Source organism: Homo sapiens, chromosome 10, assembly GCF_000001405.40.
Source record: "Homo sapiens chromosome 10, GRCh38.p14 Primary Assembly".
NCBI lineage: Eukaryota > Metazoa > Chordata > Mammalia > Primates > Hominidae > Homo > Homo sapiens.
In genome coordinates this window covers 49,869,352-49,890,766 of record NC_000010.11, presented here as the reverse complement: position 1 = coordinate 49,890,766, position 21,415 = coordinate 49,869,352, and the positions used below count along the sequence as shown (strand labels likewise).

At 37.3% G+C, this 21,415-nt stretch overlaps 1 protein-coding gene across 15 annotated transcripts in view; it reads left to right on the top strand.

Moving 5' to 3' along the window:
• PARG (poly(ADP-ribose) glycohydrolase) overlaps positions 1-21,415 on the top strand; it is a 123,749-nt gene that overhangs the window by 51,261 nt on the left and 51,073 nt on the right. For 13 of the 15 annotated variants that reach the window (NR_130169.3, NR_136752.3, NR_136754.3 and 10 more), the window contains 3 exons: positions 5,472-5,564; positions 10,937-11,094; positions 21,212-21,291. Coding sequence is in view for 7 of the 15 variants with exons in the window: in NM_001303486.3 (NP_001290415.1) it covers positions 5,472-5,564; positions 10,937-11,094; positions 21,212-21,291 (331 nt within the window). In the remaining 8 variants the exon portion in view is untranslated. Of the gene's footprint in view, positions 1-5,471; positions 5,565-10,936; positions 11,095-12,629; positions 12,749-21,211; positions 21,357-21,415 lie in introns of those variants that run through there. The other 2 variants (XR_007062014.1, XM_047425921.1) reach the window with 2 other exon arrangements.

Below are 21,415 nucleotides of genomic sequence, written 5' to 3'. Positions count from 1 at the left end.
ATATCTCTTTTCTATTTGGATGTTTGTAGATATTTAAATATTTATAATGTTTTGATGTTTGGCAGATTTAGTTCCTTTATTTTAGTAGCTTGTTTCTATTTGTGGAGAGAAGAAAAAAAAATAGCCTGTCCACAGTCACTATGATGTGGTTGCAGTTATTACTGCCCTCCTAGGTTAGGGCTGATGTGTTGGGGGTCACAGGGAGAGGATAGGGCTTTGTGCCATGAGATTCATGAGGTCAGTGACCACGTCTGTTAACTGTTTACTCTTCTGTCATCTTCTGGCACAATTCCTGACACATAATAGTTCCTCAGGTATTTGTTTATCAGCCAATCGAATGAATGAACAGATCTATAATCTAAGGAAAGGAGATAGGCAAAATAGCAGTATAATTTTGAAATTTATTGTATCAATCCTGACTGAAATATATGTATAATATATATTACATATATATACAGCCAATTTGTGGGACTAGAATAAAAAGTTGCTACACACACACGCGCACACGCACAGATCAAAACACTTGCTGTGTGTAATTATCTATGCAGACTATCCAGTAGAGGGCAGGGTTTTACTTGTGGGAGAATTTAATACAACTTTCTTTTTTTACCATCATGTAAATGCTTACCTCCCTTATAATCATCATTATCATCATAATAAGTAATACATGTTTATTTTTCTTTAATTGTTATGGAAGATTTGACCAATGGCTCTTGCTTTTCGTGAAGTTAAGAAATGACGTACATCTTAAATAACTTTTCCCTACTTGCATCCCAGTTTGCGTTGTACAGGTTATAAGGTCATGGTGATATTTTAGATTATGCATTCCATCTCAAACAGTAGTTTAGTCACTTATGTTCTTAAATGACATTTTTAGGTTCCCTTTTTGTGTTTCCAAAGCAGCATTAGACATAGGTCTGGAGTGTTGACAGTTGTGAAGAAGTACAGTGCAATAATGCTTCATCAGATAAATAAGCAACATTGTAAAGCTTGTCAGCAGAGCGCTGCAGTAGCCACTCATGTCAGTTTTAAAAGACAAAGATGGATACCCAAAGGAGACGTGTCAGCCTGTTAAGACACTTAAGGTTTAATATCTTTAGGTTTAACATGGTTGAATAGGCACTTCTCTCTGTCCTTCCCACTAATTACAGTGAAAAACAGGGGACCTTGTATGTAAAACAAACATAAGACTCTGAAAGGTAGAAGACCACTGACCAGCAGGGACTATGGGACCCTAGGAGAGTACATGGCACCAAAGTGGTATCAGTAAAGACCTAGTGGGGAGCTTGAACTCTCACCCCAACCCAGCACTATCAAGGTACCTCTCTCACTTTCCACTTTGGGTACTAAAGGCTGACTGGGGAACATGAATTTTTACCCTCAATTGCTGGTAATGAAGTAGCTATCCCATTCCCCTGCTGGCACAGTATCACAGAAAGCCTGCTCTGGCTGAAGATTTAAATAAGATCTAAAGATTTATAATACCCCAAATATCCAAATTTCAACAAAATGTCCCTCATGACCAGAAAAGAATCAGGAAAATCTCAACTGAAATGAAAAATGAACATCAATAGACACCAGGAGAATACAGATGTGAATTGTCTGACAATTATTTTAAAGTAGCCATCACAAGAAGGCTGAGCAATTATAAACATACTTGAAACAAATGAAAAAAACAGAAAGTCCCAGCAAAGAAAAAAAAAAAAACTATCCAGAGAAACCAAATGGAAATTTTAGAACTGAAAAATATAATAACTGAATTTTTAAAATGGAATAGACAGGTTTAATGGAGAATGGAGATGATAGAGGAAAGAATCAGTGAACTTGGAAGAAATTAAGAGAAATTACTCAGTCTGAACAGCAGTGAGAAAATAGATGAAAAAACAAAACCCAGAGTTTAGATATAACATTTGTGTCTTTGTGTGGACAGAAAGGGAGGGGAAAGAGGGTGGGACTGAAAAAATATTCAAAGAAATAATGGCTGAAAACTTCCAAAATTTGACAAAAGTCATAAATCTACAGATTCAAGAAGCTGACCAAAACTTAAGTAGGATAAACCCAAAGAAATTCATACCAAGACATACTATAATTACATTTCTTAAAACCAAAGGCAAAGAAAAAATCTTGAAAGCATCAAGAGAGAAATGACACAATGCCTATACAGAAAACAGTTTGAATGACAACGGATCTCTCAGCAGCAAACATGGAGACCAGAAAGAAGTGACACAAAATTTTGAGGACTAAGGAAAGAATTGTCAACCCAGAATTCCATATCTAATTAAGATGTTCTTCAGAAAGGAAGAGGAAACCACAATGTTCTCAGGTGAAGGAAAACAGAACTTGACATCAGTGAACCTAACATAAAGTAATGTCTAAAGAAATTTCCTGAAACAGAAAAGAAATTATAAAAAAAAGGAATCATGGAACATCAGGAAAGAAGAAAGAACAACAAAGAGTAAAAATATAGTAAATGTAATAGACTTTTTAAAAACTTTTTTGAGTGTTGTAAATTATGTTTGACTTTTTTCACTGTTTTCAAATATTGTAAAATAGTATAGTTATCAATGTATGTAGAGGAAATATTGAAGATTATAAATGGAGAAGGGTAAAGGAATTTAAAGGAAGGTAAAGTCTACACTTCACTGGAACTGGTGAAATGTTGACACCAGTAAATGTTGGTAAGTTATATGTAATGCAGTCCTTCAGCAGCTACTTTAAAAAAAAATCTATTCAAAGAGATGCAGTCAGAAACATTTTAGATAAACAAAAATGGAATTTTAAACTATGTTCAAGTAACCCATAAGGAGGAAGGGAAAAGAAAACAGATAAAAGAAAGAAAATGAAATAACAGATTTAAGTTTCAACATATCAAAGACTACATTAAACATAAATGACCTAAATTCATCTATTAAAAGACAGATGTGCAGAGTGAATTTTAAAAATGACACACTGTGCTGTTTACAGGAAGTGATTTCAGACAACAATATAGATAGGTTGAGACTAAAGATAGCTTTATTTATAATAGTACAAAACTGAAAACAACCAAAGTGCCTCTCAGTAGGTGAAATTGCTAAACAAACCATGGAATATTATATAATATTATATTCATACCATGGAATTCTACTTAGTAATGAGGAGGAGTGAACTATTGATACTTGCAATAACTTGAATGCCTTTTAAGGGCATTAAGCCATGTAAAAAAAGTCAATTTCAAAAGACTTGTATGTTTCCATGTAGGTAACATGGCAAAATTTTTCAGCTGAAAAACAAATTAGTGGGTGTTAGGAATAGCGAGAGGAAGGAAGCTGAGTGTGACTATAAATGGGTAGCATGAGATCTTTATTGTAGTGGAATGGTTCTGCATCTTGATTTTGGTGGCGATTACAGAAATGTACGTGTGATAAAATGGCATAGAATGATACACATTGTACTGGTATTCCTGGTTTTTAGTATGTTATAGTAATGTGAAATGTAACCATTGAGAGAAACTGGGTGAGAGGTATACTGTACTATAACGTCCTGTAAATCTATAATTATTTCAGAATACATAGTTTTAAAAAGCAAAAAGGCCTGTATAGTCCTAGCTGCTCAGGAGGCTGAGGCAGGAAGAGATTTTTTGAGCCCAGGAGTTCAAGGTTACAGTGAGCTATGGTCATGCCACAGCACTCCAGCCTGGGCAACAGAGCAAGACCCTGTTTCTATTAAAAAAAAAAAAAAAGATAAATTATAAACAGGAAGAGTTTGAATATTTTAAACAAATGCATTAATATATTTTATACATTTTCATACATTTCAGATATAGAGAAGCCAGTATCTTTAGTGCATACCTGTAAAATAGTAGAATGTCATCTATGAATATATGATTTTTTAAAAATTTAGTTTTTTTATTTTTAACAGAGTTAAAGAGGCAGATTATAAAGAGGCAGTCATTTGACTACTCTAAAGTCTTTTTAAAACAAGTCCCACTTTAGAAGATTAGGATTTAGCTCTTATTCTCACTTTCTCCACTACCATGAATGCAAACATCATTTCTACCTCCGCATTTTCTCACTATAGTTTTCATACTCATTTCAATTACATCAGTAGTTTTTTTTCAGTTGGATAGTATAAACACTATTCATATATGGGCTGTGATTGCTTTTCCTCTCTTAAGCAACTTTTTGTTTTCTCCAGAATTAATAATTGTCTTTTGTTTAATTTTCTGTATGCTTATGACTAATTGAATTTCCAACTCTCTGAATTACAAATATCCTTCTCTTCATTCTGAATGTGTTTACTCATTATCTTAATTTTAAAAGAGAAGTAAACATAGGTTGGGTTTTAGAGTTTTGGTGTAAAGAAAATTCTTAGTGTTAGAATTTACTGGCAAAATCAGGGCAAATATTCTTTGTTACTTTTTCTATTTACACACATACCCTGTCCAGCTGCAGATAAACAAATGGTTTTACCTTTATTTCAGTTTAGTTCCTGATTTTTGTCAAGAGTCTGTTTCTTCATCGATTCCAAACATTGGTCACATAGGGAAGTAGGAAGAGCTGTGGCATAGAGGCCAGAACACTTAGGTTCTTGTTCTGATTTGGTTTTAATTGACCTCAATGTAGGATGATCAGGTAACCTCCTTGGCCTCAGTTTTCTCTGTAATAGTGACAAGCTCAGACCAGATTATAACTGAGGCCTCTTCTAGTTAAAATGTGATTTCAAGTAGATAAAGTATTTACTTCAGTCCTGACTGTATATGTAGTATCTCTAAATTAAGAGTGTTGTCATTTCCAGTACTTTTAAAGAAATACCCTGATGTTTAGAAAGACATTAGATTAAAAGGTGTTATAGAGAGGGGAAATTTTATAAAAGACAAAAATGGACCATGCATGGCATCTTTGTTGTGCTTCAAATTTTTATATGGGAATTGTGGTTTTCACTTCCCAAGGGTGTCTGGAAAAGAGAAATTCTAAGACCATCAGAAACCTCATTGTTTATTACCCAACAGATTAGATTTGACCCATAGAGTATGCTCTGAAGTCATTAATGTGGCTTTTATGGAGATTTCTTCAATTGTAGACCATTGAAACTAGATGGGTCCTTGGGGGCTTCTCAGAAAGTCCTTGGTGTCTAGCAGTTTCTAGTTGATACAACCAAGGGCAGAATGTACTGTTTTCCATTTGCAAGTGTTTTTACTTTATTGTGAATGTTGTGTGAGGGATATTTGATATTTGGGATACTTACATTTTTTTTCAGAGGGCATTAAGGTGAATTGCCTTAATGCCAAATATACATTTGGAAATGAATTTGGAAGTTTATTTGTATACACCTGTTGATGCATTTGTACATGTGTTTGGTGATGCTGATAGGGTGCCACTTTATGGGGTTCCATGAAAAGCAGATATGTAATTTAATTTCATAACAAACATATTCATTAGTTATTATATTTACTGGTTATTGTTATTCACATAACTTATTTTATTGGTTTTCAGGTACTTGAAGAAGCAGAAGCTCAACATTTATATCAGTCCATCTTGCCTGATATGGTGAAAATTGCACTCTGTCTGCCAAATATTTGCACCCAGGTTAGTGGATGTAGCTTCCTCAGTAGCTTCCCTGAGACTGCCAATTGAATTTCCCTTAAACTCGAATGGCCAGGGTCACACAGAGAGAGAGAGAGAGACAGAGAGACAGAGAGAGAGAGAGAGAGAGAGAGAGGAAGAGAAGAGAAGAAATGGGAAACAGTTTTTGCCAAAGAGTATAGTAATTTTGCTGTATTAAGGAAAAGGTTAGAGGGTAGAGAGTACTACAAAAGGACATTAAAAATGCAGCATTCCATTCCTCAGCTTCTGTTTACACTGTTGAAGCTTGTTTACTTTGACTTTTTTCTCTCTTTGTTTAAATAACCTCTAACTTAAAAAAGTATTCATTATTTCAAAACATACTAGTGGATTTGGAATAGCGTATTTTCAAAATGGCTTAATACGACCCACTCCTTCCTCACCCTCCCCCAAATTCTACAACAAATGAGTTAATGATACTTTCTTAACTTTTTTTGAGACAGAGTCTTGCTCTGTCACCCAGGCTGGAGTGCAGTGGCATAATCTTGGCTCACTGCATCCTCCACCTCCTGGATTCAAGCAATTCTCCTGCCTCAGCCACCCAAGTAGCTGGGATTATAGGCATGTACCACCATACCCGGCTAAGTTTCTTTTTTTGGAGTGCGATGGCACAAATCCCAGCTCCCTGCAACCTCTGCCTCCTGGGTTCAAGCAATTCTTGTGCCTCAACTTCCCAAGTAGCTGGGATTACAGGCGTGCGCCACCACACCTGGCTACTTTTTGTACTTTTAGTAGAGACGAGTATTCAGCATGTTTGCCAGGCTCGTCTCAAACTCCTGACCTCAGATGATGCCTTGGCCTCCCAAAGTGCTGGGATTACAGGTGTGAGCCACTGTGCCAGCCTTAACTTTTAAAAATAAAGAATCCTGTATTTTATTTTGTTTGGAGTACGTTAATTATATATTGCTACATAACAAATTATGTCAAAATTAATGGCTTAAAACAATAAACATGTATTATCTCACAGCTTCTGTTGACTTTGGGAGCAGATTAGCTGACTGAGTGGTTGTGGATCAGGATTTCTCTCGTGGTTGCGGTGAGGATGTCAGCCAGGGTTTCAGTCATCTGAAGGCTTGCCTGGGGCTGAAGGACACACCTCTAAGTTGGCTTACTTACAGAGCTGTTGGCAGAACGCCCTGACATGGGCCTCTCTATAGGCTGATTGATTGTCCTTATGACATAATAGCTAACTTCCCCAGAGCAAGCAATCCAAGGGAGAGAGCAAGGAAGCTGCAGTGTCTTCTATGACCTATTTTTCTCAAGGTACCTAGCATCACTTCTGCTGTTTTTCTGTTCATTGGAAGCTAGCCAGTACCCAGGGGGAGGGGTATTAGACCACCTGTTTTTTTTTTTTTTTTTCTTTTTGAGACTGAATTTCATCCTTGTCCCCCAGGCTGGAATGCAGTGGCATGATCTTGGCTCACTGCAACCTCTGCCTCCTGGGTTCAAGTGATTTTCCTGCCTCAGCTTCCTGAGTAGCCGGGACTACAGGCGTGTGCCACTACACTCGGCTAATTTTTTTGTATTTTTAGCAGAGACGGAGTTTCACCATTTTGGCCAGGCTGGTCTCGAACTCCTGACCTCATGTGATCCGCCCGCCTTTGCCTCCCATGGTGCTGAAATTACAGGCATGAGCCACCGTGCCCAAGACTCCACCTCTTAAAGAGAGGAGCATCAAAGAATTTGTGAACGTATTTTCAAACCTCCACAGGGTTTGTTTTGTTCATAATTTTATTCCTGTGTTTCTCACAACCGTGCTTGAATTTGCCTTTGTCTTTTATTTCTAGGGCCAACGCCTCTTGCTGCATGGCTGCTAGCCAGGGTTCTGCTAGCATTTTACTCCACAGGGGCCCTATGGACATTTGGGTGGAACAATTTCTGAATGTGTATAATGGTCCCATGCATTGCAGTATGTCATTAGGACACCCCAAAAACCACAAATAGGGTCACTGGGGCAACCAGAAAACAACGCATACATGTCCAAATGCCTTCTTGGACTATGCCACCTTCAGTTGAGACCCATGAAATGTTTTCCAGTGTGATGTTTTCAATTTTATGTAACTTTAATTTTACCTCAGTAATGCATTGTGCCTGAAATAAGTTTTACTATTGGGCAGGGGAAATATATTTTAAAACATATCTTCTTGTTTCTGTTGGAAGTTATTTGCTTGATCATATTCCATGTTTGTTCTTTTTCCTTTCTCTCCTTACTTAGTAAATTCTCTCCCTACCTCCTAGGTATGCCTGTCTGTTACTTCCCCTGTGAAGCCTTCCCTGCCTCCCAGGCAAGGTTCATCCCTCTTGAAGCACTCAAATCATTGTTTTGTAATTCTTGTCATTATATATCTCTTGCCACTGGATTATAGTCTCCTTAAAGGGAGATCCTCTTTGTGTCCCTGGTTTGCATGGTGCTTAATTATATGCTTTTTGAATTCAATATGTAGTTCATAATCAATAATAGGTAGTAGGTAGCCTTTGGGTGTGGGCCATTTAATCCTCTTCCCCTCGTGCATATGAGAGTTTCCATATTTTATTTAATGAGAAATTTTTGTTCAAAGGTATCTAACTTTGTAAGCTATAACAAGTCCCTTGGAACCAAAATCAGACCCCTGAGTCCTCAGCTTTTTGTCCTGGCTTCTCCCAGTGACTTTCTTCTCCATTAGCATATCAACGGGGAGAGCATGGAAATTCTGTGCTTTGCCCCCTATTGAAAAGTCAATCTCTGCTGTGAAAGTTAAGATTTTTATTTGAGATCAAAATACGTCTTGTGGCAAGTTAAATTGTATATGTTGGTGTTTAATAATTTATCACATTGAAGTACTCTAGGCCAAATCTAAAGGGTAAATTTTAGATTTATCAAAATAAAATTAAAGGAAACAAATTTGGTCAGGAACTTTTTGAAATATCTTGGTTCACAGTAACCAGCCTCTTATTTTGTTGAGCCGATTGCTTGACAGTAAGATTTACATCTCCTGATTTCTCCAAATAATGAGTTTTTAGGCATTTCTCCTCACCAAGAGAGGAGAAATCATTAACTCTATTTAAAATTATACTATTTGTTTATTTGGGAGACAGGAAATGTTTGTGTTTGAAGTCCATTAATCCTGAAATCTTTACTATTAATTTTTAAAATCATTTTTCTGAATAACTTGGTAAATGGTAGTTAAAAACTCATTTCTTCCTAAAACCAAGCAGCACTTTGCTTGAAGCCATTGATGCACTGTCACCTTTTCTAAACTCGTTGCTTGGTTGTGAACAAATGCACGGGATGGAAAATGGAGATCAATATGAGCTCTCTATTTTTCTCAGAAATGGTGATTGCTAAGACCTGAAGGGGAGAGAATTTTGTATAACATAGTGAAAATATTCTTTACCTTTTGCTTATTTGTTTACCTTTGAATTTTTCCAAGAGAAATAGTTGAATTGCAAGTTTAATCTGTTCTTTTTTCTGGCAAACTCTTATTCTAGCAGTGGTGTGTACTTCTGTACTTAGAAAAGCATTCATTATTCAGCACCGCAGTTTTGGTTTGTCTTGCCTGCCCTTTCCTCAGGTTCATTCTGGGTGTCCACTCCTGAGGTATGATCAGGACAGTTTGCTCTAGGCATGCCATTTTGAGATGAGTGCAGTTACCTGAAACTCTTAGTTCTGGGTCTTACTGAAGGGGAGAATGAAATGCATCTCTAAATATTCTGTGGGAGCATTTTGAAACTTAACAGCTGAAGGATAAACTGGTAGTTGGTCTTTGATTTTATCAGCATGTCTTTAAAAACATAGTTTAATATTTAAAATATGTTGACAAAAAGAGTCAAACTCTGTAAAATATTTGAAGAGATTTATTTTGAGCCAAATGGGAGTAACCAGTGGCCTGTAACACAGCCCCAGGAGATCTGAGAACATGTGCCCAAGATGGTCAGGCTTGGCTTTATACATTTTAGGGAGACATAAGACATCAATCAATACATGTAAAGGGGGCTTACAGGTCTTAGGTAGATTCAAAGATTTTCTGATTGGCAATTGGTTGGAACAGTTATTATCCAAAGACCTGGAATCAACAGAAAGGAATATCTGGGTTAAGATAAGGGTTTGTGGAGACCAAGGTTTTATGATGTGGATGAAACCTTGTAGCTTCAGAGCTTTTATCAGATCTAAAAAGGTACCACGCCCTTTCTTAATTCTCACCTGGAAAGGAATAGGGATTCTTTACAGAATGTACATTTTCCCAACAGACAGCTTTGCAGGGCTATTTCAAAATATGTCAAAGAAATATATTTTGGGGTAAAATACTTCAATTCTTTCAAGGTCTGCTATCTGTCATGTGATGCTATACTCGAGTCAGGCTGGAATTGAGTCTTATTATTATAAAAAGATTTGTTTCATCAGTTTTAAGGTCTCTGTTTTCTTGTTAATGCTGGTCACTTGTGCTGAATTCTAAAGTGAGGAGCATATAATGAGGCGTGTCAGACCCACACTTCCTATCATGGTGTGGACTAGTGTTTCAGGTTAACTTTGGAATCCCCTTGGTCGAGAGGAGGGGTTCATTCAGTTGGTTGGGGGTCTTGGAACTTTATTTTTGGTTTACAAACAGAATAAAACCCACTGAACACAATACTCAGGTCGTGTGGATTATACTGACAATAAAAGGTAAGTGAATTTGGTGGCATAACTAGAAGACATTTTAGACATAAAAGATTTGAAGGAAAAATGTCTTACATCTTCCTTGACTTGGAATGTTTGGTTATGTAAGAAATGTCTTATCTTTTTACAACTTATGCATGTCCGTATGGTGGTTTTTACATGTTCTATTAATAGCTTTAATGAAGTTAGATTTGATTCTTATAAAGAAATTGTGAGTATGAAGTGTAATTTGGAATAAGAGGGTCAAGACTTATTTGTTGAATTATCTTAGATCATTTTATTGAGGACTAAGAAAGATTATTCTGGCCAATAATTTTTAATATAAATAAGAACAAAATTTAGCTTAAACAATGTTATATATTTTTGTTTCATCTTTTGTTTTAATTTTTCATTACATGGGCAATGTGTTTTTATTTACTTGCTGAAGCAATCTTGTTTTTCACTAATAAGTAATGTTTTATATTCTCTTCACTATCATTATTATTGATTAGAAATCTGCAGTTTGTCAAATAAGTGCATTTTCTGAATCATCCCTGATAAACAGCCCTTGACTTTTACAATATTGCTGATTTAAGGATTCAAGAATGGCCTGAAATTATTTCTGCCTTAATTTAGCAAATGCAATTTGGTGCCTCTGCTTTTGAAATTGCTAAACTAATTATTGCTCTTCTCGTCTGTATTTTTTTGTTTCTTTTATCAGCCAATACCACTCCTGAAACAGAAGATGAATCATTCCATCACAATGTCGCAGGAACAGATTGCCAGTCTTTTAGCTAATGCTTTCTTCTGCACATTTCCACGACGAAATGCTAAGATGAAATCGGAGTATTCTAGTTACCCAGACATTAACTTCAATCGGTATGTTTTCAGAAAACACCTCTTTAACAATGAAAAAGACAAAGGTGGAAGGAACTAATAATATTTTTTGAATGAATTCCATAGGCCAAGCATTTTATATGCAGTTGTCTTATTTAATTTTTACAGTACTTAAGTGACATTTTCACCATTTTGCAGGCAAGGTGATTAAAGTTCATTGAGGTTAAAAGAACTTGATTAGGATCCAGGAGCTAGTAAGTCACAGAACTGAGATTTTATTTCAGGCCTGTCTTACTCCAGGGCCCATGTTCTTTCTGTCCTCTCAGATGATTCCCCAGTTCTCTGGACTCCACATGCCTCTTCAGTTTGATTATTCACGAGAACTTTTGTTGTGCTTATATTCCTTAATGCTGAAATACTGTGAAAGGTAGAGGAAAAGTCCTCCTTTCTACAAAGGTCTTATAAAATGAGAGTCTAAAGTCATGAGCTGTCTTATGAGACTTGAAAAATGTAATTGTTTTGATGAAAAGTGAAAGGTGATTTTGACCCTTTATAGACATGGTTAATTTATCAGTGTAATATTTTTAAAAGAAAAACAAAAGAATGTTCAAACTGCTCGACTAAATTAATACAGTGTGAAGGTATTGATAAAGTTCTAGATTCCAGCCATTTTCCCAGGTGACTGCTTTCTCTATCTTCTACACAAACAAAAATATTTTAAAGAATCTTCTTGGCAAACTAATGTTTTTTCTTCCCTCCTACTCACTACTCCCATATCCCCACCTCTGTTTCTTTCTTCACTTGAGAATTATCTTTATAGGACCCATGAATAGAATATATGAGTTTTCTTCCCTGATTTCAGTGTGAGACTTGAGAAAATTGCTATAATCTGTGCCCCTTTCCCAGCAGGCTGTGTGTAATGCCCTTCACTGCCTCTGGTCACCCAGAGCCTGCCTCTGAGGGTGGGGCAGTATGCAGAGTAGGAGATAAAGTCATAGAGCGGATACACAAACAAAACCCACTTTTGTTTGCCATACTGCTTTTGTCTCCAAAGTAGAATGATCAGTAACACCACTTTTTTTTTTTTTTTTAATTTTAAGACGGAGCTTCACTCTGTTGCCCAGGCTGGAGTGCAGTGGTGCAATCTTGGCCAACTGAAACCTCCACCTCCCGGGTTCAAGCGATTCTCCTTTCTCAGCCTCCTGAGTAGCTGGGCTTACAGGTGCATGCCACCACGCCTGGCTAATTTTTGTATTTTTAGTAGAGACGGGGTTTCACCATGTTGGCCAGGCTGGTGTCGAACTCCTGACCCCAGGTGATCTGCCTGCTTCTATCTCCCAAAGTGCTGGGATTACAGGTGTGAGCCACTGCACCCAGTCTGATTCTACCAGTTTTTCTAGTATCCTTTTTCTGTTCCAGGATCCTACCCAGCATCCCAGTTACATTTAATTACCTAGTCTCCTCCAACATGTTCCTTGTTTTTTCTTTTCTTTCGTGATCTTGACAGTTTTGAAGAGTACTCATCACAGTTATTTTGGAGAATATTCTCAGTCTGGGTTTGGCTGATGTTTTTTCAGGATTGGAATGAGGTCATGCATTTTTGGGAGAATACCACAGAAATGATCCTGTGTCCTTCTCAGTGCACCGTATCAGGGGGATCATGATACTTCTTATTACTGGTGATCAGTTGGCGAAGGTAGTGTCTGCTGACTTTTTCCACTGTAAAGTTACCATATTTCCTTTTGTGATTAATAAATATTTTCCAAAAGATAAAACACTATGCAAATGTTGTTTTGCCTCACATTTATCCCTACTAATTTTGGCATCCATTGGTGCATCTTGTCTGCAATGATTATTACCATAGTGTTTGCCTGTTGTGAATTTTCTGCTTCCCTCTTCTACATTTGCTAATTGAAATTCCATTGTAAGGAAGAGCTATCCCTTTTCCCCCGTTTTTAAAATATCAGAATGGACTCATGGATATTTATTTTGTTGTGTCAGTTTAAATTAAACAGTATTATTTATTTTACTGCTTTAATTATTCTAGCTTTGGCCATTAGGGCTCCTTTAGGTTGACTCCTATGTTCTTTTGATAAGCCCTATCCTTTTTTTGAGCATTAACTTTCATTCTGGAATCATACATTGTTCCAGATTCATCTTACATTTTCCATGCCTCAATCCTGGAATGAACCATTTTCTCAAGGATTCCTGGTCTCTTTTATTGTACAACGGTATTTAGAGACCAACATCTAGGTGATAGGTGTGCTCATTGCTGCTAGAGTGTCATTGTTTCTAATGCAACTTACTTTATGTGGGCAGCATTTCTTATAACTCCACATGGCAGCAGAGAAATGAATTCACAATTCTCTCCAATATCAGAGTGTCAGCCCCGAAGACCATATTTTTTAGCCTTTTAAAATTGGAGAATGTTTTACTCTCTTAAGATGAGAAGAATTCTAGAATTCAGCTGGTTAGTTCCTAATGTAAATTTTAATTAAACTTAAAAACTAGACATTTCAGTGCATTTATTGTGTGTTTAGCAGATGAAAGTATAGCAGATGACTTGAATATAAGCTGCTCTTAGACTGTCATAATTCTTGGGTTATATTTTTATGACCTTCAAACATTAAAATATTGATGATAATTTGTTATTATATATGGTTACCCTCTACTATCAACACTAAGAAAGGGGCAGCAAAGAATGAAAAATAATGTTATCTAAGAAAATTTCTTTAAAATCCTAGTGTTAGCAAACAGGATAGTTTTTTTTTTTTATATATAATATGCTCCTTGGTTACATAAATATTAGTTGCAAGGGGCATATTTTTAATCTATTTTTCAAGTTTGTACAGTAGGTAAGTTTGTTTTTAGATACTGGTATTTAGTCAATGTTTAGTTCAAATGTACAATGAGCAACTGCAATATTCCCCACAGTGTATTAAGTGCCATAAGGTTACAGAGAAAGGAGAAGCCAGTTTCTGAGTTCTTACTGTTATGTAGTATTGTCTCATTTTCAAACCTCACGTCACAGATGCCCTTCTCTTTTCCACATGGCTTTTATTCCTCCTCCAGTACTCAGTTCACGTATCAGTTTTTCTGGTGTCTCAGATTCTGCTAGGATAGGTTTGCTACTCTAGGTTCCTATGCTAGCCTGTGTGTACCTCTGGAGAGGTGCACAGCACCATGACGTTTTATTAAAGAAAGATATAATTTAATAAAGGAAACTTTCCTCAAGGAAATAACTTTTCTTGCTGTTGTTGTTTTGAGACTGGGTCTCATTATGTTGCCCAGGCTGGTCTCAAATTCCTGGGCTCAAGAGATCCTCCCACCTCAGTCTCTAAAGTAACTAGGACTACAGGTACATGTCACCATGCCCAGCGCAACTTTTGAATTAAGTACAAAAGGGTGAATAAGAGTTTTGCCAAGGAGAAGGAGAGGTGGTTGTATTCTAGGCAGGGGAAAAGTATGTGTAAAGTCACTGTTGCAAGAAGGACCTGACATGTCCAGAGACTGAGAGAAGACAGTGTGGTTGCAGCACAGAGAGTGAGAAGGAGCATGGAGATGGTAGAGGCTACAGAAGTAGCTGGAGGCTGGACCATGCTGTGCCTCACTAGGCCATCTGAAAACAACAGGAAGTCATTGGAGGATTAGATATGTGGGTAGAGGGAGACTAGCACATGTGTTCAGATTTACATTTTCAAAAGTTTATTTTGGCTGTAATGTGGGAATCAAGCAGAGAGGGGCCAGAGTACATGAGTTTACCCAATTGGAGAGGCTACTGCAATGCACCGGGAAAGAGGATGTTAGCTGGGATAGTGTAGGGGAGGGGACAGAGGTGTGGAGACATTTGAAGGGGTAGCCAGAGTGATGGTGATGGACAGGATTGGTAGATGGGCAGAGAGAGGCATCCAAGGTACTCCTTAGGTTTGTACAGCCAGATGTGTGCCTTTACTGTCCCCTACTTTTCCTACTGTACTACCTAGACTACTTCATAATTGCTTATTTAATCATTTCAGTGGGACAGGGATCTTAACTGTCTTTGTTATTTTCACAAAGTCTCATGCATTGTAGGCCTTCAATAAATGCTTCTTGAATGAATGAAAAGAAATTTTACAGATGAAATATTTGAGAATTAAGTGACTTGTTTTGAGTAATGGAGCTGGTTAGTGGCAGAGTGCTAAGACTATAATTTAGACCCTTTGTTCTCAGTCTCTTGTCTTTTACTTTTCATATTATGTCTTAGTCTTAGGAATTACGAGATGTTTTATTTTTAAGCCACATATAATCAAACATAGCTTTTACTTCTGATTTCGTTAGTAATTGGGGTAGAATTGAGAGAAAACACAGAGCATTGGAATCTGCAATTGCAGTTATATAAAAAACCTGTTTCACAGGCGTGAGCCACTGCGCCCAGCCCATATATTACTTTTACGTGCAGAAGAAAAAATAGTTCAGGGAAGAACAAGTCAGTTGTCAGAAATCAAGCTGAACACAAAGTTAATAAGAGTGGACAATTTTTGTAATTTGATTTTGAGGGTGGAATTTCACAGATTTTTTGAGGCTTTTCCAAAAAAGCTAGTGTGGATAGCTTCTTTCCAATTACTCCTCCATAGACACATTGTCATTGTGTCTACTTCACCCTATTTTACTTATTCAGCATATAGCATTTTATTTCTTATGGAAGAAATAGAATCCACAGAGTTCTGTAGGGAGCAAAGACCCATCGCTGCTGGATGGCTGACAGGCAGAGGTCAAGATGTCTTGGGAAGGCTTGGCTTTGGTGACTTCCAATTTCCTGTAACCAATTACCAGAATTTACATTCATATATATATCTTTTTTGTTTTTGTTTTTGTTTTTTTTGGGACAGAGTCTCGCTCTGTCGACCAGGCTGGAGTGCAGTGGCGCCATCTCGGCTCACTGCAAGCTCCACCTCCCGGGTTCACACCAATCTCCTGCCTCAGCCTCCCTAGTAGCTGGGACTACAGGCACCCACCACCACGCCCGGCTAATTTTTTGTGTTTTTATTAGAGACAGGATTTCACTGTGTTAGCCAGGATGGCCTCAGTCTCCTGAACTCGTGATCCACCAGCCTTGGCCTCCCAAAGTGCTGGGATTACAGGCATCAGCCACCGCACCCGGCCAATTTTATTATATATTTTAATTTTAAAAGACCTTTGTTTTTCAGCCAACCTTCTGAGTGGGGAAGTCTGGGGCTTCTTGGCGATGGCAGGTTTATCTTTTTCATTGTACATGGTCATTTATCCTGAAGACTGAGCTGGTTAGCGCTGAAAGTCAGCATGTTGGGCTTGATGGGAATCAAGGCTGGGCCATTTTTTTAAATGAAGGGAATATTAATTAGAACCATGCAACTGCTTTATGTAAATGAATGTTGATTTTTTTTGCCTGGGCATTATGTAATGCCTTATTTTAGCGCAAGTACCTTAGCTTACTCAGCATTATCTGAAATTCATTTACTTGTCACATTAACCATATGAATTAGAATATTGATTAGGAATTGTTGTTACACTCATTTTTAAAATGAGGTGGAAGTTTAGAGAGGGGAGGTTACTTCACCAAGTTAACACAGTAACTAGTAGACTTGAGATTCAAACGCAGGATGTAGTCTCCTTTGAGAAGCTGTGTCCCTTAACCATTCTGCTACACAGTCTCCCTTTGAATGAACTGAATTAATAATTCTTACCTCATGACTAGTCAAAAATTAGAACTATTTTTAGAAATAATTATTGATCTATTAAATGAATTAAAGCCATTTGTAAGTCCAGAGTGACCGTGACGGATTTAAGCTTGCAGCAAATAGCATTCTCACCAAATAAGAGTTTAAGTAGTTCCGTTGAAGATTTGAAATCAGGCGTATTCTTGTCTTCCTAGGTGATGGATGTTCTTTTGGATAGCAGAACATGAAAAATGAATTAAGGCAGGTAACCTAGTGTTAGTCTCCACAATGTTGTAGAGAATCCTAAGCAGCCAGGATGTCTGCACTTGCCTTTCACTGTGAGATGGTGTGTGTTTTAATGAGCCTAAGCTAGCAAATAATAGGAACAACAACTGTACATCACCATTGATACTGTCTTTTGATGGCTTGCTTTGATTCTGTCTATGGAATTTTCTAGGTAGGGAAGCCTCTCTACTGATAAGGTTCAGGGAGAATAAATGAATTGTTAGCACAACTGGAACTTGATCACTGTCTTCTACTCAAACTCAGTTTTCTTTTATTGTATCTCAAAGCCTGTCATGAGCAAAATGCTCTGAGTGCTCCGGAAATGCCAAACAACTGAAAGTCCCCCCACTTTTATGTGGCTTCTGAAAGATCCAGTACGTAATCTGATGAGCCATTTGTTAAGCTGATTATGTAGCATTTTATTGTGTTATTTCCTTTTATGCATAGTTTCTACTTATGATTATAGTTTCTAGCAGTGGGGAGTTGTGTGTGTGAGAGTGTATTTAATCTCAAAAGAGAGGTATGGCTAGCTAGTTGAATAAGAAAAATGGTAAGAGTATGTGGTGGGAGGCTGAAGTCAATAAATTGAATATGTCTTCCCTTTTTTATTTATTGCTGTGTTCTTTAAGCCCTGCTTAGTTATGGTAAATACCCCTGACCTTTTTCCCTGCTTGCCTTTCAGGTCCTAAACATTCATATAAAGGCTTCCAATGTGATTAGCATCGATGCTTCTGAGTTTGCATGGAAACTAGATGGTCAGAGATAAATTGTGGGTCTCAGCAGTGGTCAGCCCAGGAGGTTTTTACATCTGCCTCTTCCCTGTATTGAAAATGCTGCTGGGGCCATATGGCAGAGTGCCTCACAGAAGAGCCAGGAATGACTTTCTGGCTGGGTTCCGGACTATCACTTGCTCGTATTTTAAAATGGAGGTTGTAGTGCTTTGGGTTTGATTTACTGTATACTAATGGGATTATTACTTAACTTGAAATGGCATAGTGGGTCATGGTGGGGGTGGGGATGGATATACCTAGAATAAAATTCCAGTAATGTTATCAGTATTCCATTCAGGGAAAGATTTTATTCAACTCTGTTTCTCCTTATAAGTATGCAAAGAAAAACACCAGCTAATAAGTGTCTGACCTTTGACTGATGTCTGTCTTTGAAAATACCAACAGTTTTGTTTAGAACAAAGTAAGATTTCCTGACTGGCTTTTTGTGTTTGATTTCTTTAATAATCTGTAATTATCTTTCAATTAAATGCCCAAATGTCCTCCCTACATGTAGAGGAGTTATTGTGGCCTGGTTTGTGTGCACACTGCTGACTTAAAATATGCCTTCAAATATACATACCCAGGACTTGAAAAATCTAAATTAAAAAAGAAAGGTGTTGGGAAGTTTACAAAAAAAGTGGGGGCGGGGGAATGATGCTTAATGATTATGAGAAGGCCTCACTTTCTCTGAGCCTGTTTGTGTATGTCTTTCTCTCTGTGTGTCTGTCTCTCATGCTCTCTTTCTCTAACCCCATTTCTATCAGCCTTTCTCTTCTCTCTATCTTCCCTGCCCCATCTTTCTTCTCCCCCTTCACCCGTTTCTTGGGCTCCAGCCTCAGTCCTTTTGTTTTCCTCCTCATTCCCAAAAGCTGTCCCTCAGATTGTATATCACTCCTGGGATGACTTTCATTCATGCTGTTTGCCTGTCTATTTATGTTATTTTTACTTGCTTCCATATCAGGATAATTCATTTTATTTGAGTGGCTGTGCATACAACTTTAAAATTTCACAACAGCCAAGTCTGAGAATTGTCACAAGGATTTTAAACCTGCTTCATCTCCTCTGACTTTATCTCCACTTCTTACCCCCGACACCCACCACGACACTTCCCCCACTTCCCCCTGCTCTATCAGGAAGATGGGAAAGTGTATTTGGTTACACAGTGATTTGAAGTTAGGATTGGAGCAGTGAATAAACAGAGTACATTGAGATTCTGCTTGATTTGTACCTTTAAGATTTGTACCTACAAAATAAACAGTGGTGTTCATTTGTAGTGGGTGATAATAACAGCCATAAAATCTTCCAGGAAAGTCTGTCTCGCCAGGATAATAAATCTGCAGTCTCACGAGGCTCCTAAAGTTAATAATTTGTCATCATGGTTGTGAAGTATGTGACCTTTTATGTGATTTTATACAGATGACCGCATATGGAAGCTAGGGACACTTTTCCTATGTTTTAGAGAATTATTTCTTAAGAGCAACAGCCATTTTCTCCTCACTATGCAATAGTTCTATTGAAGAAGAACTTTTATCCTTTAATTGAATTGTATAGTACATCAATTCATCTCTAGGAAAAGGTGGTGGCTACTTTTGTATTCATATTGCTTTCCTCTAGTGCATAGTGAGCCTAGAAAGAGATTTTGCAGTGGAGCCTTAGGTATTCATTTAGTAAATCATATTTATTGATATAGGATGTTTAATTAAACTGCCATGTGGCTTCTTCATTTTGACTTAAATAAACTCTGTTCTAGAAGAAGCCATGCTGAAACCTGCACCCTCAAAGAGCCTTTCTTTCAGCTGGCAACTGGATTATAAGAGTATGTGTATTAAATATTTTAGAAAGATAGGTTCTTTAAATAAAAATTATCACACAGGCTGTCTTAAACTATTTTTAAAAAGAGATCTGATTTTAGATTTGGTTAAAATACTAGCATACATTAGTATTCTTTTTAGGAAATAAATATTCATATAAATTGTTTTTCCAGAAATTGACCCTGAATACAGATTTCAGATCATTGAAAACGGAACCATTTGAAATGTGCATTTCCTTTCCTTTTCCTAATTTATTTCAGTCGCTCAATAGGATTTTCTCATGGAATTAACTTTTCCCTCTCAGCGTAGTTACATAAGCTTGCTGTTGTAATCATGAAAAATAATTACCCATTTCAGCACTTATTAACATGGACTTTACTTGAAGGGTCTCTGGTTTTAAAGTCAGAGCACATGACTAGAGGCAGATGAAGAGTACCTCATCATTCATAGCCACTGAGTCTCTATAATTTTTAAATGCCTTTGGAAAGCTAGATCTTATGCTCAAAAGCATGCTTTTGTGTTAGAAATCTTTTAGTGAGCTACTTACTCAGGTCATAATGCTTTTAAAGCCCTGCTTTTCTTTCCTCAGAATAAACTGAATTGTATGTTACCAATAACAATGCCACATCATTTCAAAGAAAACGGAATTAAGTAATCCAAGTCCGGGTTGCTGAAAACTAGATGACACAGGGTAGGCACTGTTGTGGTTACCATGCAAAGGATCTCTATTAGTCAGCTTGGGCTGCCATAATAAAATACCATAGAACTGGGTGGCTTAAACAACAGAAATTTATTTTCTCATGGTTCTGGAGGCTAGAAGCTGCAGATCAGGGTGCTGCTGCTTTGGTTCCTGATGAGGGCTTTCTTCCTGGCTTATAGGTTGGCTGGCATCTTGTCCTCACATGGCAGAGGGAGAGTACTGTAGTCTCACCTTGCTTTTTAAAATGACACCAGTTCTATCAGATTAGAGTCCCACCCCTATGACCTCATTTAACTGTTACTACCTGCTCACAGGCCCTATCTCCAAATTTAGCTATATTAGGGATTAAGGATTCAACATATAAATTTTGAGAGGTCACAAACATTCAGTCCATAAAAGAATCTAGTTGTTTAATTAACAAGGATTGTTGAGCCCTGATATCTTGTTATACCTGCCTGTGTCCCTGCCCCCATTCCCCTCCACTCTCATTTCCTCACAAACACTCAGATAAGGATTTTTTTTGATACCGTTTTTGTTACTTATCAAACTACGTAGTAACATTATGAATTATAAATGTTTTTAGCCATTGAGAAAGTAGCTGTGCACTGACTGACTGACCCCAGTTGACTGGGAGGGCTGGATGGTGCCTTCTCTGTGGTGGAAGATAGGTTGGAGAAATGTGGTTGGTAGTAAATGATGTCTGATTTGAGCAGCTTTGAAGAAGTCTGGTTCTAGTTGGTTTCAGTTCTTTCCAGATGCCATTTGAATCTAAACCAATTTTCCAGTTCTTATCATTACAGAATTGTCTTCTGGAAGAATTATTTCTTTGTATTACTTGGTAGCAATATGGATGTAGTTTTGTGAATCATTAAGGCATTTTAACTTATCTTCCATTCTCTTTTATTTTTTATCTCTTAGATTGTTTGAGGGACGTTCATCAAGGAAACCGGAGAAACTTAAAACGCTCTTCTGCTACTTTAGAAGAGTCACAGAGAAAAGTAAATTCCTTTCATTCTTACTGTAATTTTTCTTGCTGATGGGAACAGTTCAAGTCAAGTGACATGTGAGGAACATTTTGTGTTTAACGTAAACCTTCCTGTCCCAACCACATTGAAACACTAG